Source organism: Homo sapiens, chromosome 9 (assembly GCF_000001405.40).
Source record: "Homo sapiens chromosome 9, GRCh38.p14 Primary Assembly".
Taxonomy (NCBI): Eukaryota; Metazoa; Chordata; class Mammalia; order Primates; family Hominidae; genus Homo; species Homo sapiens.
The window spans coordinates 112,877,006-112,891,386 of NC_000009.12; the positions used below are offsets into that span (position 1 = coordinate 112,877,006).

Consider the following 14,381-nt stretch of genomic DNA (forward strand, 5'->3'; position numbering starts at 1 on the left):
GGTGAGAATGGTGATTCTTAAATGAGGGCTTGTGAGACACCAATTGTTGAGCCCCAGTCCTAGAGTTTGACTTGGGTGAGATCCCAGAATTTTCATTTCTAACCGGTTCCCAGGTGATGCTGCTGCTGCTGGCCCAAGAACCCCTGGGTTAGAACATCTGTTAGAAGAAATGGTGACCCTGGAAAAGCTGACAAGGTTTGAAACTCCTACCCTGGTGACAGCTGGAGTTGAAAAGGAGCCAATACTTGGGCTTTGAGAGCTCAGCTCAGGTTAAAAAACACAAGTTTATATAGCACGGTCAATGTGGACAAGGAATGACATTTCTCTAAACAGTAAGAGGCTTTTCAGGAGTAGGAACGATTAGATTCATTCAGGCTGAGGAGCTGGTCAAGAGGCTGGACCAGAAGGTAAGGAGTTGGGGAATGAGCATATTGATGAGTAAGGGTGGAGAGGTTGAACATGGTCTTGACCTCATCTTTCCCATCCTATCTGCTCTGCTCATGCTGCCAGACTCTTGGGGTTGGAGGGGGGCGCTACCTTTTTCCCAGTGGCCTGAGCCCCAAATCTGAGTCATTCTGGCCTCCATCTACCTCACCCTCTACCATCCATCCATTAACCAACTCCTGTAGCCTCTAACTCCCAAATATTTTTCCATATCCATCTACTTTTCTCCATGCTTGTAGCTTCCTACCCTACGTCTGCTATTATTTTTTTACTTTAATTTTTTTTTTTAAGAGGCAATCTTGCTCTCTCACCCAGGCAGGGGTATAGTGGCCCAGTCATAGCTCACTGCAGCCTTGAACTCGGGCTCAAGCGATCCTGTCGTTTTAGCCTCCTGAGTAGCTGGGATTATAGGTGCACACCACCATACCCAGGTAATTTTAATTTTTTTTGTAGAGATAGTGGTCTCGCTATTTGCTCAGGCTAGTGCTGGATTCCTGGCCTCAAGTGATCTTCCTAGCTTGGCCTCCCAGAGTGCTGGGATTATAGGCCTGAGCCACCAAGGCTGGCCAGTCAGTCTGCCATTATCCTTCACCTGGTTTACTGCAAGGGCTTCACAGCTCATCTCCTTTCTTCAAGCTTGCTCACTCCTTCCACCAATTCATTGTCCTCAGTGTTGCCAGGGAGCTGTTTCTAAGATGCAAATTTAAGCACTCTGTGTTCCTGCTTAACACCTTCCAACAGCTATCCCCATTTACTCTGAAGAGAAACATCTTTTTCTTTTGAAAGGATATTTTATGTTATTCCTCCTTACCACCCCAGTCTCATCTTACTGTCCTCCGTAATACTTGTCCTTCCGTCTGCTGCCTTCACACTGAATTCCTAAACCTTTGATATATTTTCACCTTCAGGCCTTCCAGCAAGTTGTTCCTTCTGCCTGGAATGTCCCCCAACATCTGGCCTTAGTAACTGCTACTTACCCTTCCAGCCTTGTCATAGAAGTCATTTCTGGGATGCCCTTCCTGCTCTCCCAAATCTGGATTCCGTGCTCCCTTATATTAGTGAGGTTGGAGAGGTTGAACGTGATCTTGAACTTCTTGAACTCATCTTTCCCATCCCATCTGCTCTGCTCATGTTGCCTGACTCAGTGCAAGGGTGCTGGCTCCTTCCCAGTGGAAGGAGACATCCCTATCTGCTGTTCTGTCTGCTTCACCTGATAGACAGTACACTGTGCTAGGGCAGACACAGTCACGTGCTATTCTTTCTGTATCTCAGCACCTAGCATGGGGCCTGGACCTTATTAGATGTGTCATAGAGTTTTGTTCATTCCCTGCAAGAGGATTAGAGATACAAACTCTCAGAGCCCAAATACCTTGAATGTATTCTGCAGCCGTGTATTTTATCCTGTATAAGAACATCAAGTCTGTAGTCACAGACAGAATCTGACCTGGGAAGGAACGATTCACACACTCATACAATGAATGTTGATTTTATTAGGTGAGTCTGCTTTTATAAATCCAAGTAAACAAGGTTATAAAAATGACTACCTCAAATAAAATAGCTCTTAATGTACCTCCTCTTCCTTCACACCACCCACTTTGGGAAGCACTGTTGACTGGAAGTACTCAATTGAACATCCCATTGAAGAAAGCCTTGTGACATTTGCTTCTTAAAAGCAACAGTAGTAACAAAACTACCCAGAAGACAAGGGCCTGAGCTCCATCCCCCTCCTGAGTGTTTGTAGGTAAGGAAGACTCAGGAAAGAAAGCTGACTTTTTTCAAGGTTTTATTTTAATTTAAAAGACATTGTTCGTGCAAAACTGTTGGTAGTTCTTACAAAACATCCCTTCCACATTCCCCTCAGGCTGTGATAATGCACGCTTTGAGTTCTCCCATGGGACTTTCAGCACAGCACCCAGGTGACTAGTTAGCTATACTTTGGAGCCCTCAAGACAGTCCCTTGAAGAAAAGGGGCAGGCTCGCTGTAGCTGGAGTCTGAAGCCCCTCACAGGGCCTGGGACTGCTGTGTGCAGCCTGCCTGTAACCCTTAAGGTCATGCTCTGCTGTCACAGAACCCAGTGTCTGCCTAATGGGGGTGTCTTAAAGCTGAGAACGTTTTTCCATCACCAGGAAAGTGCTTTTCCCCATCCACCAGGGATCCCTGAGCCAGAGCAGGTCATTCTGAGGCCAACTCTGGCTGGAACGCAGGTTTCTTAAGCAGTGGGTTGCTTAGGTCACCAGTTCCCTGGTCCCTTCTTTTGTCTTCTGGGGGCCTGGCCATGGCTGATGTTTTCAGTTCCTGCAGGTAAGCATCTTCATTTCTCTATGATGTCTCCATATGGTGACAATGGGACTTGTTTATAGGCCACGATGCTGTAAGAATTGACCATAGAGAGTTACAAGAGAACAGCTGGAATGGGGTAAAGGTGAAACTGCCCTCACAGGGTTAATGATAATTACAAGCCAGGCTTTAGGCAAAATCATAGGTAGGCATTGACCAAGGTGTGCTGGTGCACTGTGACCCATCTCCCTGCAGCTGCTAGCTAAAAGGAGCATGTTGACCATTTGCTTCCCCATTGTTCCTTTAGATAGAATCTCTGGGGGCCAGGCATGGTGGCTTATGCCTGTAATCCCAACAGTTTGGGAGGTTGAGGCAGGTGGATCACCTGAAGTCAGGAGTTCGAGACCAGCCTGGCCAACCTGGTGAAACCCCAACTCTACTAAAAATACAAAAATTAGCTGGGCATGGTGGCAGGCGCTTGTAATCCCAGCTACTCGGGATGCTCAGGCAGGAGAATCACTTGAACCTGGGAGGCGGAGGTTGCAGTGAGCCAAGATTGCGCCATTGCACTCCAGTCTGGGTGACAGACTGAGATTCTGTCTCAAAAAAAAAAAAAAAAAGAATCTCTGATACTGGACCTTTTTACTTAAGAATTGCTTAAGGTGTTTTTCAGATCCTGAATTCCAGCAGAATGGCTAGTGCCAACCAGCCTGAAGACCCTCACCAAGGAACCAACTCAGCACAGGAATGCCATTTCTTCATCTCCCTGTCCCATGATTTCACCCCTCACTTCTTGACCAATCAGCGATCCCTACACTAGCTCATCACCCATCCAGACCCCTTGGAAGCCCATCCCCAACCTCCCTGGTAGGTGGGTTTAAGGTTTCCCTCCATCTCCTTGTTCAGGTGCTGTATATCGTTAAACACTTTTTTCTGCTGCAACTCCTGCTCTTTCGGAGTCTGTTACTGTGCAATGGGCAATTGAACTTGGTGGTCCTGTAACAAAGGGTGTGCCTTTTCCTCTCCATCCATTAGGCCATCTCTTTATCACTGGTAGACTGAAATTTTTTTATCCATTTATGGCATCAGAATGGAATTTATGGCACTGAGTGGGGAGAGATTGTCTGAAGGAACTTCTCTTACTCCAGGTTCATTCCAGTCTTGCAAGTACTGAACTTCTCCATTTCCCATAACATCATGAGCCCTTTGCATCCACATTTTCTTTTTCCTGGAATCTCTTTCCATCTCACTTCTGCCTGAGGATGAACTCCCATCTATATCTCAAGATCAAGATTAAGCCTTTGCTAATTGCAAGCAGAATTAGCTGCCTCATCGTCTGCCTTTCCATAGGTCCTTTATCCATTACATTGTTTAAAATTATCTTAATAAATGGATGCGCAGCAATTAGGTCTGAACTGAAGTCCTGGATCAGTGTGACTTAGGCATGTCCTTCAACCTCTGGCACCCTGGGCTTTCTCATCTGCTGGAGCTCCAGAATCCTCAGGTTCTAAGCTACAGCGCAGCACTTCTTGATGGATGAACAACACCTGGAGTTGCTAAAATGGGTTGTGCGCTTAGATCCAAGCCTTTTAAGGGAAACTTTGTAGACACTTCCCAACGCTTAGATTTCCCGCCTTCTATGAGTGCTAGTGCACTACTGGGAGGGGCACTGACTGTACTTAAGACTCATTGTATTACAGGGCTGGCAAGTGGAGAGTGAAGACTTGGAAGCAGCCAGCACAGGGCCACATGATCCTTGACCCCTGCTGTGGACCACTACAGCACAGGCACAAGGCGATGGCCAGCATCTGACTTCATGGGCAGCCCCAGGCAGCTCTGGGGTGTGGGCGGTCAGCAGTGCTGACTTATTAGTCAGCGTAAGTCAGCGCTGAGAGATGCTACACCCTCTGACAGGGCATGCATTCATTAAACGAATTCTTTTTGACTGCTGCTTATATGCTAGGATCTGTGCTGAACACAGAAGATACAGGGAGAGCCAAATAGCCATGGTCTCTGCCCTCAGGGAGCCTTCAGTCTAGTGGGCAAGTGTAATTAAACAGCTAATCATGAAATCATCATCACTGCATTCTACCAAGGAGAATATAGGAAGCTCTGGGAGCATGTAATAGAAGGATCTAATTTAGATTGAGAAGGGTTAGGAAAATTCTCTTTGAGAAAATGGTGTTTCAGTTAAGACCACAACTAGTTGGGTGGGAAAAAGTTGTGGATGGAGAAGGGAGAAGAGTGGGAGGGGAGGCGACTGTGGCTGAGGGTTGGGGAGGGTGGTCAATGGCAGGAATAGGAGGTGAGAGAGGGTGGCCAGGCCAGCTTATGCAGGGCTTTGTTGCCCATAGTAAGACATTCATTTTTTGTTGTTGTTGTTTTTGTTTCTTTTTTGAGACAGAGTCTTGCTCTGTCACCCAGGCTGAAGCACAGTGTCATGATCTTTGCTCATTGCAGCCTCAACCTCCTGGGCTCAAGCAATCCTCGCACATCAGCCTCCCAACTAGCTGGGACTACAGGCATGCACCACAATGCCTAGCTGATTTATTAATTTTTTGTAGAGTTGGGGTCTCACTATATTGCCCAGGCTGGTCTCAAGCTTCTAAGCTCAAGCAATTCCCCCACCTCAGCCTCCCAAAGTGCTGGGATTACAGGTGTGAGCCACTGCACCCAGCCAAACATTTGGGTTTTATCCTAAGAGCAATGAAAGCCAAGTGCAGGGCTTTCAGCAGGTGAGGACATGACCTGATTCACACTTTAAGGACCTTGCTCTGGCCACCTGCTGGAGAGAGGATGGGAGTGGAGAACAAGAGTGGCTGTATGGAGAATGGTTCAGAGGCTAACTCAGTCATCCAGGTGCTCTGGATTAGGGGGTAGCAGTAGAGATAAAAAGAAAAGCATAAGTTTGAGACATATTTTGGAGGTAGAATCAATATATTAGGCCTGATTGATTGGAGGTGGGGGGAGATGAAGGACAGGTTTCTACCCTCGGTGGGTGGTGCCGCCGTTTAATGAGATCATGAGATTGGAAAGACAGGAGTGTTAGCAGGCTTAGGAGGGTATCAAGAACCCTATTTTGGAAGTTTAAATGGTAATATGAACCTTTGGAAGTACTTTAGGTTGCTTAGAAAATGTAAAGTGAGAAGACAGCCCAGAATAGAACCCCAAACAATTCCTACATGGGAGGTTTGTAGAGAAGAAGCTATCAGATAAATGGGAGAAAAGCCAGAAGAATGAGGTGTTTTGAAAGCCATGTGACAAATATCTCCTGAGGAAAGAGTGATCAACAGCATTAGATGTCGCCAAGAAATCATATGAGATGAAGGTGGCAGCAGGTCAACGGATGCAGCTAATAAGTCATTAGTGGCTTTAGTGAGAGCAGCTCTGGTGGAGTTGAGCAGGGGGAACCAATTGAGTCAGACTGGAGTGAGAAGAAAGTGAATGGGAGTGGGGGAGTGAGACAGCACGTGCAGACCTGCCTTGGGATAACTTGACTATGAAGAGAAGGAGAGACGGAGGAAGAGCATATGTCAGCTCTGGTAGAAGAATTCAGGAGAGAATGAAGCAGTGGAATGAGCTTTCTCAGGAGGTAGGAGAGGCCGCACCCAGATACCAGGTGCAATGCATGTAGTGGATGGGAAAGACAGTCTGGCTTCCTTCAAATCCTGTCTCTGCCACTTCCTAGCTGTGTACCCTTTGGCAAGTTATTTAATACCTTGGAGGCTGTTTCCTCACCTGCAAAATAGGGAGAATAATAGTAATTACCATAAAGGATTGTTTGGGAAGATTAGTTTAAAAATATGAAATAAAGTAGTGCCTGGCACATAGGGCTGTTTAAGAGTTTGCTGTTATTATCATTAAAAAAAAGAAGATGGATGCAAATGAACATAGGGCTGTGGACTGGAGAAGACAGGGAGATTCTGTTGGGATAGCTTGGCTTCTCTTTTCTGTTTTTTTCTTTTTTCTTTTCTTTTTTTTTTTTTTTGAGATGGAGTCTAGCTCTGTCACCCAGGCTGGAGTGCAGTGGCACGATCTCAGCTCACTGCAACTACCACCTCCTGGGTTCAAGCGATTCTCCTGCCTCAGCCTCCCGAATAACTGGGACTGCAGGCGCATGTTGCCAAGCCCGGCTAATTTTTGTATTTTATTGGAGACATGGTTTCACTATGTTGGCCAGGCTGGTCTCAAACTCCTGACCTTATGATCCATCCGCCTTGGCCTCCCAAAGTGCTGGGATTACAGGCATGAGCCATCGTGCCCAGCCTGGCTTCTGTTTATGAAGAATGAGGCATTAGTTAAGTGCATGTATATTGGAGGGCATGAGGGGAGAGGGTTGTAGATAAGCAGAACCTCACAATTATTTCCTCAGCATCTCCCTATTGCATCTAAAGAGCAAACAAGAGAGGGCAAGTTCTTACGGTGGCATGAAATCGGCTCACTTTGGTACCAGGAAGAGGTGCAGCCACAGCCCCCTGGGATTGCAAACAGGCTGGGATCTCTCCTGGCATCGAGGAAGGGGATGCTGACTGTGATCCAGTCCAGCCTCTGCCCTCTGAGTCCTCCCCTGCTCTGGCATGCCTGCCTGGGTTTTTATGTCATTGGAATGTAGCTTTTCTTCCTGTGGTTCGAAAGCTTTACTGGTCTTTCCTGTTGCTCTCCCTGAAGATTGATGGTACAGCCTTGGCCCCTCCTAGCTGTGAAACTTTTTCAGGATCTCGTTTCTTTAGTGACTTTGCGGAAAGGAAAGTAATGGAAACACTCCCTTTACACCAGAGATTCTCAATCTTGGTTGTACATTTGAATCACCTGGAGAGCTTTTAAAATTTCCTATGCCCAGGCTGCACCGCAGATTAATTGAGTCAGAATCTCTGGTGGGTGGGATCCTGATAGCAGTCAATTTAAAATCTGGCTTTGTTTGCACGTGTCTCTCTATTGCTAAATGTCTACAACAGAGGGAAACAGTGTGCCTAAGTGCCTTACCTGCATAAGCGCTCAATCAGTTGCTTACTTGTATCTTCCCATTGCTTTCATTTGTCTCTTGATGTCTTTATGACACACATGAACTAGTAAGACTCCTTTCCTTTTGTTGATTTTTGGGTTTTGTTTAGGTTAAAGAGACTACATTAACCAACTGCCAATAAAATTGGACTGGATAATTTTCAAGCGGGCAAAAACTACTCATCCTTTACTCATTTGGCCAGAGGCTGGGACTCCTGAGGAGTGTGCACTGCATGGTAGCTAAAATCCAACCCATTCAGCCAGGACTCATACGAAAACAGGAACACACGAAAAGTCCTTAGGGTCGGACAGTTCGAAGACAGAGCTAGCTCAGTTTGCACCTTAGGAATGAGACCTGGTCATGCCTGCTGATCCATACTTTAATGTGTCTCAGCTATTTGGTCTTCCTATCTTATTTTTCTCAATTATGAAATAATGCAAAGAGCCCTAATGATTGACGGCTCTTGTCCTAGGAAGCTCAACTTTCCATTCAGGCCGAGATTTGTAATATGATGTGATGTGAGAATTCCAAAAAAGCTTTATCACTGTCCCCTTGAACAAGCCTTCCTTTATTTTCTACTCTGCTGCCTACTATACCACCATTACTGATCTGTAGAGTCCTCATGTGCTACTAGGCAGGTCCCTTGAAAATGCAAATCTATATCAAATCCTGTGGATACATGTATTCTGTGTGTGTATATATATATATGTGTATATATATATATATATTCCTTTCTCATGTGGCAGCAGTGGTAGGAGCATGAGAGAACCTCACTTCAAAGGAAGTGGTAAAAGGGCCTAACAGTCTAAAGAGAACAGTGCTGTTCCATATGGGAACCTCAACCCACATGTGGGTTACTGAATACTTGAAATGTGACGTCCAAATCTAGATGTACTGTAAGTGTAAAATACATACTGGATTTCAAAGAGTTAGTGTAAATAAGAAGTGAAATACCTCATTGACACATTTTGTAAATGGATTAGATGTGGAGATGATATTTTGCATGTCAAATATGTTATTAAAATTAATTTCACCTGTCACTTTTCTCTTTTTAAAATGTGGCTACTAGAAAATTGAAAATCACACACATGGCTTGCATTTGTGGCTGCTACTGTATTTGTGTGGGACAGGGCTGAAGACAGAACTATTCAGTGCTGTCTTTCCATTTTGTTGATGACCTAGTCTAGTGGTCTCCATAGAGTGCTCTGATTTTACAAATGAGACAATTCCCCCAGAGAAGTCAAGGGAATTGTCTGAGGCCCTGTCTGGAGCTCACACAGTCCAGCGGCTGGGAGATTTCAGCCGCACTGAGCACAGAGCCCTGTGAGGGCACGGGGAAGAAACTGTGCTCTGAAATGAGGCCTGATGACTTTCACCTAAAGGCAGCTGAACAAAAGAGGTCTGATGGTTCATGAAGGTTTCCAATCACAGCCTCTAATTATAAGGAAGTATACGGAACTCATGTAAATAGTCACTATAAAACTGCCAAAGAGTGAGCCAGTGCCTAATGACCCTGTTTCTTACTTGTGATTTTGAGGAATTCTGAAATGGCCACATTTTTAGTGTTGGGAAACAGGAGGACTTTTTCTTTGTGAGAGAGCCTACTCAGGACCCACTGCATAAATGCTGAAAATAAATAATGCAGTGATGGTGGGCTGGAGAAGGTCCAACATTCCTTGACCTAAGCATCAGGGTCCCAGCCCAAGCAGCAGATGCTGCTCCCATCCTACCTAATTGGAATGATGGCCAGGAAGGAGAGAAAGGAGGAGAGAGCAAAGCAGGAGCCCACAAACATGTCCATGGTGAGCTGGTAGATCTTGTTGTACAAGGTGGATGTCACCACGCCGGTCAGAGCCAAGGACAGCTGCAGTATGACGAACACCTTTCCTGTGGAAGGGACAGAGGTTACTCCGGAGTGCCTTGCTGTCCCTGCCTCACTCCCCATTAGCTGAGTCTCTGGAGAGTTCTTAGGGGACCCTTCCTTCTTACTCTCTCTCTCTCTCTCTTTTTTTAGAGACAGAGTCTTACTCTGTTGCCCAGGCTGGAGTGTAGTGCCACAATCCTGGCTCACTGCAGCCTTAAACTCCTGGGCTCAGGCAATCCTCCTGCCTCAGCCTCCCGAGTAGCTGGGACTACAGGCATGTGCCACCATGCCCTGCTAATTTTTAATTTTTTTTGTTTAGAGATGGGGGTCTCACTATGTTGTCCAGGCTGGTCTTGAACTCCCAGCCTCATGCGATCCTCTCACCTCGGCCTCCCAAAGCACTGGGATTACAGGAATTGAGCCACTGCACCTGGTGCCTTCTCAGTCTTTGTGTGGCTCAATTCACTAGGAATCCTGCCTCTATCTAGTTGAATCTTCCCAAGGCCTGTGGACGATAGAATCCTTCTTTGACTGTGGCTTTTCAGTGCCTGACTTTCTAAGTCACTCCTATACCCGTCTCCACTCTCTGTGCCCTGGATGGAAACCAGTGTTTCTAGTGTCTTCAAAGATGCTTCTGGAACTGTCTCAAGTGCCTTCTGCAGGTCTGTGCCTCATGCTTAGCAGCTCTGAAACAGCCCGGGCAGAAGATTCCAGAGAGATTCTGTTCACTACTCACCATAAGAGGAGCCCTTTATGAGTTTGGACATAGCTGATCGGATGGTTGTGACGGGGATGAGAGCAAACAGCATGACGGCTCGAGCTGAAAGAGATCACACAAGAACACTCCTTGCTGTAGCCCAGCCTGGGCCAAGGAGGAAATTATCAAAAGCCTCTCTTAGAACCCCCATCTCCCCACAATCCGAATGTGGCTTGACCTGGAGGAAGTCATTTCTCTGCTGGCACACTAGCGCCCTCCCTTGACCAGTCTGTGACCCTCTGAGCTCTGATGCTGCTGTGTATGCTGCATATCAGTCTGCAAGGTGGCTGGGCACAGTTGACATGGTGACAGATGGTGAAATGTGTCTTTACTGGTGGAGTTGAGTGATTACTAGGGAAGTGGAACTGGTACCACCAAAGTGACACAAGGCCCCTTTCTTTGTTTCTCCAGGAGAGAAGTGTCTGTCCTTGACATTAATGAACATCTCTGGGAGATAGTCCCGGGAGCTTTGGCAAATTGCCTCCAGCAATGTGTCCCATGAACGCATCCACTGCATAGCTCTCAAGCTCTATTCTCAAGCTCTATTGATTATCCAGATGCAGTGTGTGTGTGTGTGTGTGTGTGTGTGTGTGTGTGAGAGAGAGAGAGAGAGAGAACGCACAAGAGAGACAGATAGAGACAGACAGCCAGGCGTGGCGGCTCACGCCTGTAATCCTAGCACTCTGGGAGGCCGAGGCGGGTGGATCATCTGAGGTCAGGAGTTCGAGACCAGCCTGAACAACATGGTGAAACCCTGTCTCTACTAGAAATACAAAATTAGCTGGGTGTGGTGGTGCATGCCTATAATTCCAGCTACTTGGGAGGCTGAGGCAGGGGAATCACTTGAACCCAGGAGGTGGAAGTTGCAGTGAGCCGAGATCGTACCATCGCACTCCAGCCTGGGCAACAAGAGTGAAACTCCATCTCAAAAACAAAACAAAACAAAACAAAACCCAAAGAGAGACACAGAGAGAGGTGGTGGGCAAAAGGGGAAGGGGGTACTCTGTCCTATGCTGTTTAATTGAGAAGTGACCAGAGGTTACCTTGCCATTTTGTTAGGTGTTTCTAAGATGTGTGACCTGCCTGGGCCAAGAGCCAGCCTCAGATAACTGTCTGAAGTTGTTTTTTTGATATGATAGCCACTAGCCCCATATAACTATTTAAATTAAATACAATGACATAAAATTTAAAAATCTGTTCTTTAGTTGCGCTAGCTACATTTCAACGGCTCAATAGCCACATGGAGCCAGTGGCTTCTGTATTGGACAGAATGGATAGCAACTATTTCCATCATTCTAGAAAGTTCTATTGGAGCATTCATCTCGAGCTTTCTGCTTATAGTTGTCTGACTTGTGCCCTCAGATGGAAACTTAATGCTGCTTCCTTGGGGAATTTATTACATTGGTTGTGGAAGGCATTTACCGAGTATTTTAATGCATTTTTAAAAAGCCCTTGCTTGACTCCAAATGATTTTAATTAAGGGATCTTTTCAGTAGAATTACTTGAAATTCCACTCCTCCACGTTTTTTTTTTTTTGTTTGTTTGTTTTTTTTTTTTTGAGACAGAGTCTTGCTCTATCACCCAGGCTAGAGTGCAGTGGCACAATCTCGGCTCACTACAACCGCTGCCTCTTGGGTTCAAGTGATTCTTGTGCCTCAGCTTCCTGAGTAGCTAGGACTACAGGTGTGCACCACCACACCTGGCTAATTTTTATGCTTTTGGTAGAGATGAGGTTTTGCTATATTGGCCAGGCTGGTCTTGAACTCCTGGCCTCAAGTGATCCTCCCACCTCCCGCCCAAAGTGCTGGGATTACAGGCGAGAGCCTCTGCGCTCGGCCTTTGAAATTCCATCCCTTTAAAATGGCAAGGGGGTGTGGGGGAAGAAACCCAATTCCATCTCCTCTGTTGAAGGCCATCCTGAAGCCTCCCCTACTGACTCCAGGTACCACTGACCACACCTCCTTGACTGCCCAGAACCATGAACACCACTCTGGTAACATTTCATTCTCAATATAGATAATTAATTAACAATACATTACAGATAAACTCAGGGGCATATAATCTTGTGTCCCTTGTGCCTCCTAGGTAGCAGGTTCAATCCCTGGTGCTGAGCTAGGACACCCAGACCATGGCATCCCTGGTGTCAGCCCCATGATGCAGAGGGCTAGCAATGTCCTGCCTCCTCAAGAATGACAGACTCACCAATATAGAACATGTATGTCTCTTTCACAAAAGCCAAGAGGAGGGCTCCTGACCCAAAGGAGACCATCCCAATCATGATCATGGTGGTGTCCCGAAAGCAGCGGGAGAAGACCAGGACACCCAGGAAGCTGGTGATGAAGATGGTGTACCCTGCAGCCATACCATAGCCCACCTGCACTTGGTTCCAACCGAGAGGCTCCCTCAGCACAAAAAGAGGGATCACGTCCACTGTGCCCACCACCGCCAGGTCATATATGATAGCACCCACAAAGAGCAAGGCAATGGTGGTTTTATGGGGTTTTGCTTTTCCAGGAGATGGAGGGTGCCCCACTGCATACTGTTGGTCCAACTGATCAGGATCCAGAGTGCGGTATGTGCCAACCGTGCCAGACACGGTATCCACGGCGGGGAGCTCCTGGCTGGGTTTGGCCACCGACTCAGGGACCTTTAGCACCAAAAGGCTGTAGAGCAGGGCAAACGAGGCACAGCTCACGCTGCAGGCCGTCAGTATCAGGCCCTGCCCAGAGTGCCCAGCCATCTGCTTGAAGAGATGCCCGGAAGCCATGCTCCCGCAGAACCCCGCCAAGCCCAGCATCAGGTCAATGAGGATGAGGCGCACAGAGCGGCGGCCCTCGGAGGAGCCCAGCGATCCCAGCGCCATGACCCCGGACCAGAAGGCGGAGAAGCCGCCGAATAGCCCGTTCAGCGCCGCCGCCCCGTACAGCACCTCCACTGGCCAGTCCAGCAGCACCTTGAGCAGCAGCCCGAGGCGGGAGAGCAGGAAGCCCAGCAGCGACATGCAGATGGAGATCTTTCGGTGGTAGCGGTCGCTGAGCCATCCCAGCCCGTAGGCGGACAGCAGGGGGGACAGGCCCACCACAAGGTTGTAGATAATGTAGAAATTGGAGATGGCTCTCTGCTGTTGGTCCTCTAGAGCCCCCCGGGGCGATGGGCTGGCACTGTGGTTGGAGGAGCCTCCGGTTCCGTAGGACGCCTTCACCACGAGGAGTAGCCCCGCATCGTAGAGGGAGGCAGCCACCTGGGACGAGGCCACCACGGGCTCAACCCAGGTCCTCGGGTGGAAGCGAGGCAGGTGGCCCCTCCGCGGGCAGGTGACCTCGGGGCTCATGTGACCTCTCTGATGGGGATCGAAGGGCTTTCTGGCTGCAGTGACAAGGATATGCTCCCAAATTCGGCTGCTACGGCTGCTCAGGTTTCAGTCCCGGAGCGCGAGTGTGCTCCGTGCGCCGGGAGCGCGAGTGTGCTCCGTGCGCCGGGAGCGCGCCGGCCAGTGGCGAGCAGAGCCAGGGCACGCAGCGCCTGTGACAGCAGCCCGCCCAGCAGCCGAGTGACCTCCCGAGTGACTCCTCCTCAGGCCAGAAAAGGCCGCGCTCCACCCTGCCCTCGCCACCTCAGGCAGAGTAGGACTGGCGACAGTCCAGGGAAGCCAGGCGCGGGGGAGCGCACCGCGAGTGCTGGCTCCTGGCGCCAGCACCCCCGGGGCCGACGGGTCACGCTGCTCCTGTGAGCGCGGCCGCCTGACGGGGCCGAATTTCCCCACAGCCAGGCGTGCGTGCCCGGACCTCCCGCGGATCTCTGCGGACCCCCCACCACCGGGGCAGGGGCTGGAAGGAAGCTCCCCAGGACTGGCTCAGGGAGCGTTTCCAAATTCTCCCATCCCAGGAAGGCAGGTTTGCGCGAGGGGTGGGACGCCTAGGATTCTGCCTAGGATAAGTATTGGGGTGTGAAGTTTTATTTATAGATTTAATGCAACAGGGGCCCATGTGCTATAGGCAGCTGGGTAGCACTTTGAGAGAAGTAAAAACTTGGGAGC

At 48.4% G+C, this 14,381-nt stretch overlaps 2 protein-coding genes across 12 annotated transcripts in view; one reads left to right on the plus strand and one right to left on the minus strand.

The window, feature by feature from the left end:
* The window catches only part of SNX30 (sorting nexin family member 30), a 136,047-nt gene extending 127,283 nt beyond the window's left edge, over nucleotides 1-8,764 (plus strand). For 6 of the 10 annotated variants that reach the window (XR_007061307.1, XR_007061301.1, XR_007061306.1 and 3 more), the window contains one exon: nucleotides 114-8,764. The gene's annotated coding sequence lies outside the window, so the exon portion shown is untranslated. The remainder of the gene's footprint in view (nucleotides 1-113) is intronic. The other 4 variants (XR_007061302.1, XR_007061303.1, XR_007061304.1 and 1 more) reach the window with 4 other exon arrangements.
* Nucleotides 1,915-13,871, minus strand: SLC46A2 (solute carrier family 46 member 2). 2 transcript variants are annotated; one of them, NM_033051.4, is made up of 4 exons: nucleotides 12,548-13,871; nucleotides 10,325-10,408; nucleotides 9,455-9,611; nucleotides 1,915-2,814 (listed from the first exon to the last, which is right to left on the minus strand). In NM_033051.4, the coding sequence occupies exons 1-4, from the start codon at nucleotides 13,674-13,676 to the stop codon at nucleotides 2,757-2,759; spliced, it is 1,428 nt and encodes a 475-aa protein (NP_149040.3). In that variant the 5' UTR covers nucleotides 13,677-13,871; the 3' UTR covers nucleotides 1,915-2,756. The 2 variants fall into 2 exon arrangements, with proteins under 2 accessions (NP_149040.3, XP_047279596.1); XM_047423640.1 differs by lacking the exon at nucleotides 1,915-2,814 and having other exon boundaries at nucleotides 9,596-9,611; nucleotides 12,720-13,871.
* Between the last annotated feature and the right edge of the window lie 510 nt (nucleotides 13,872-14,381).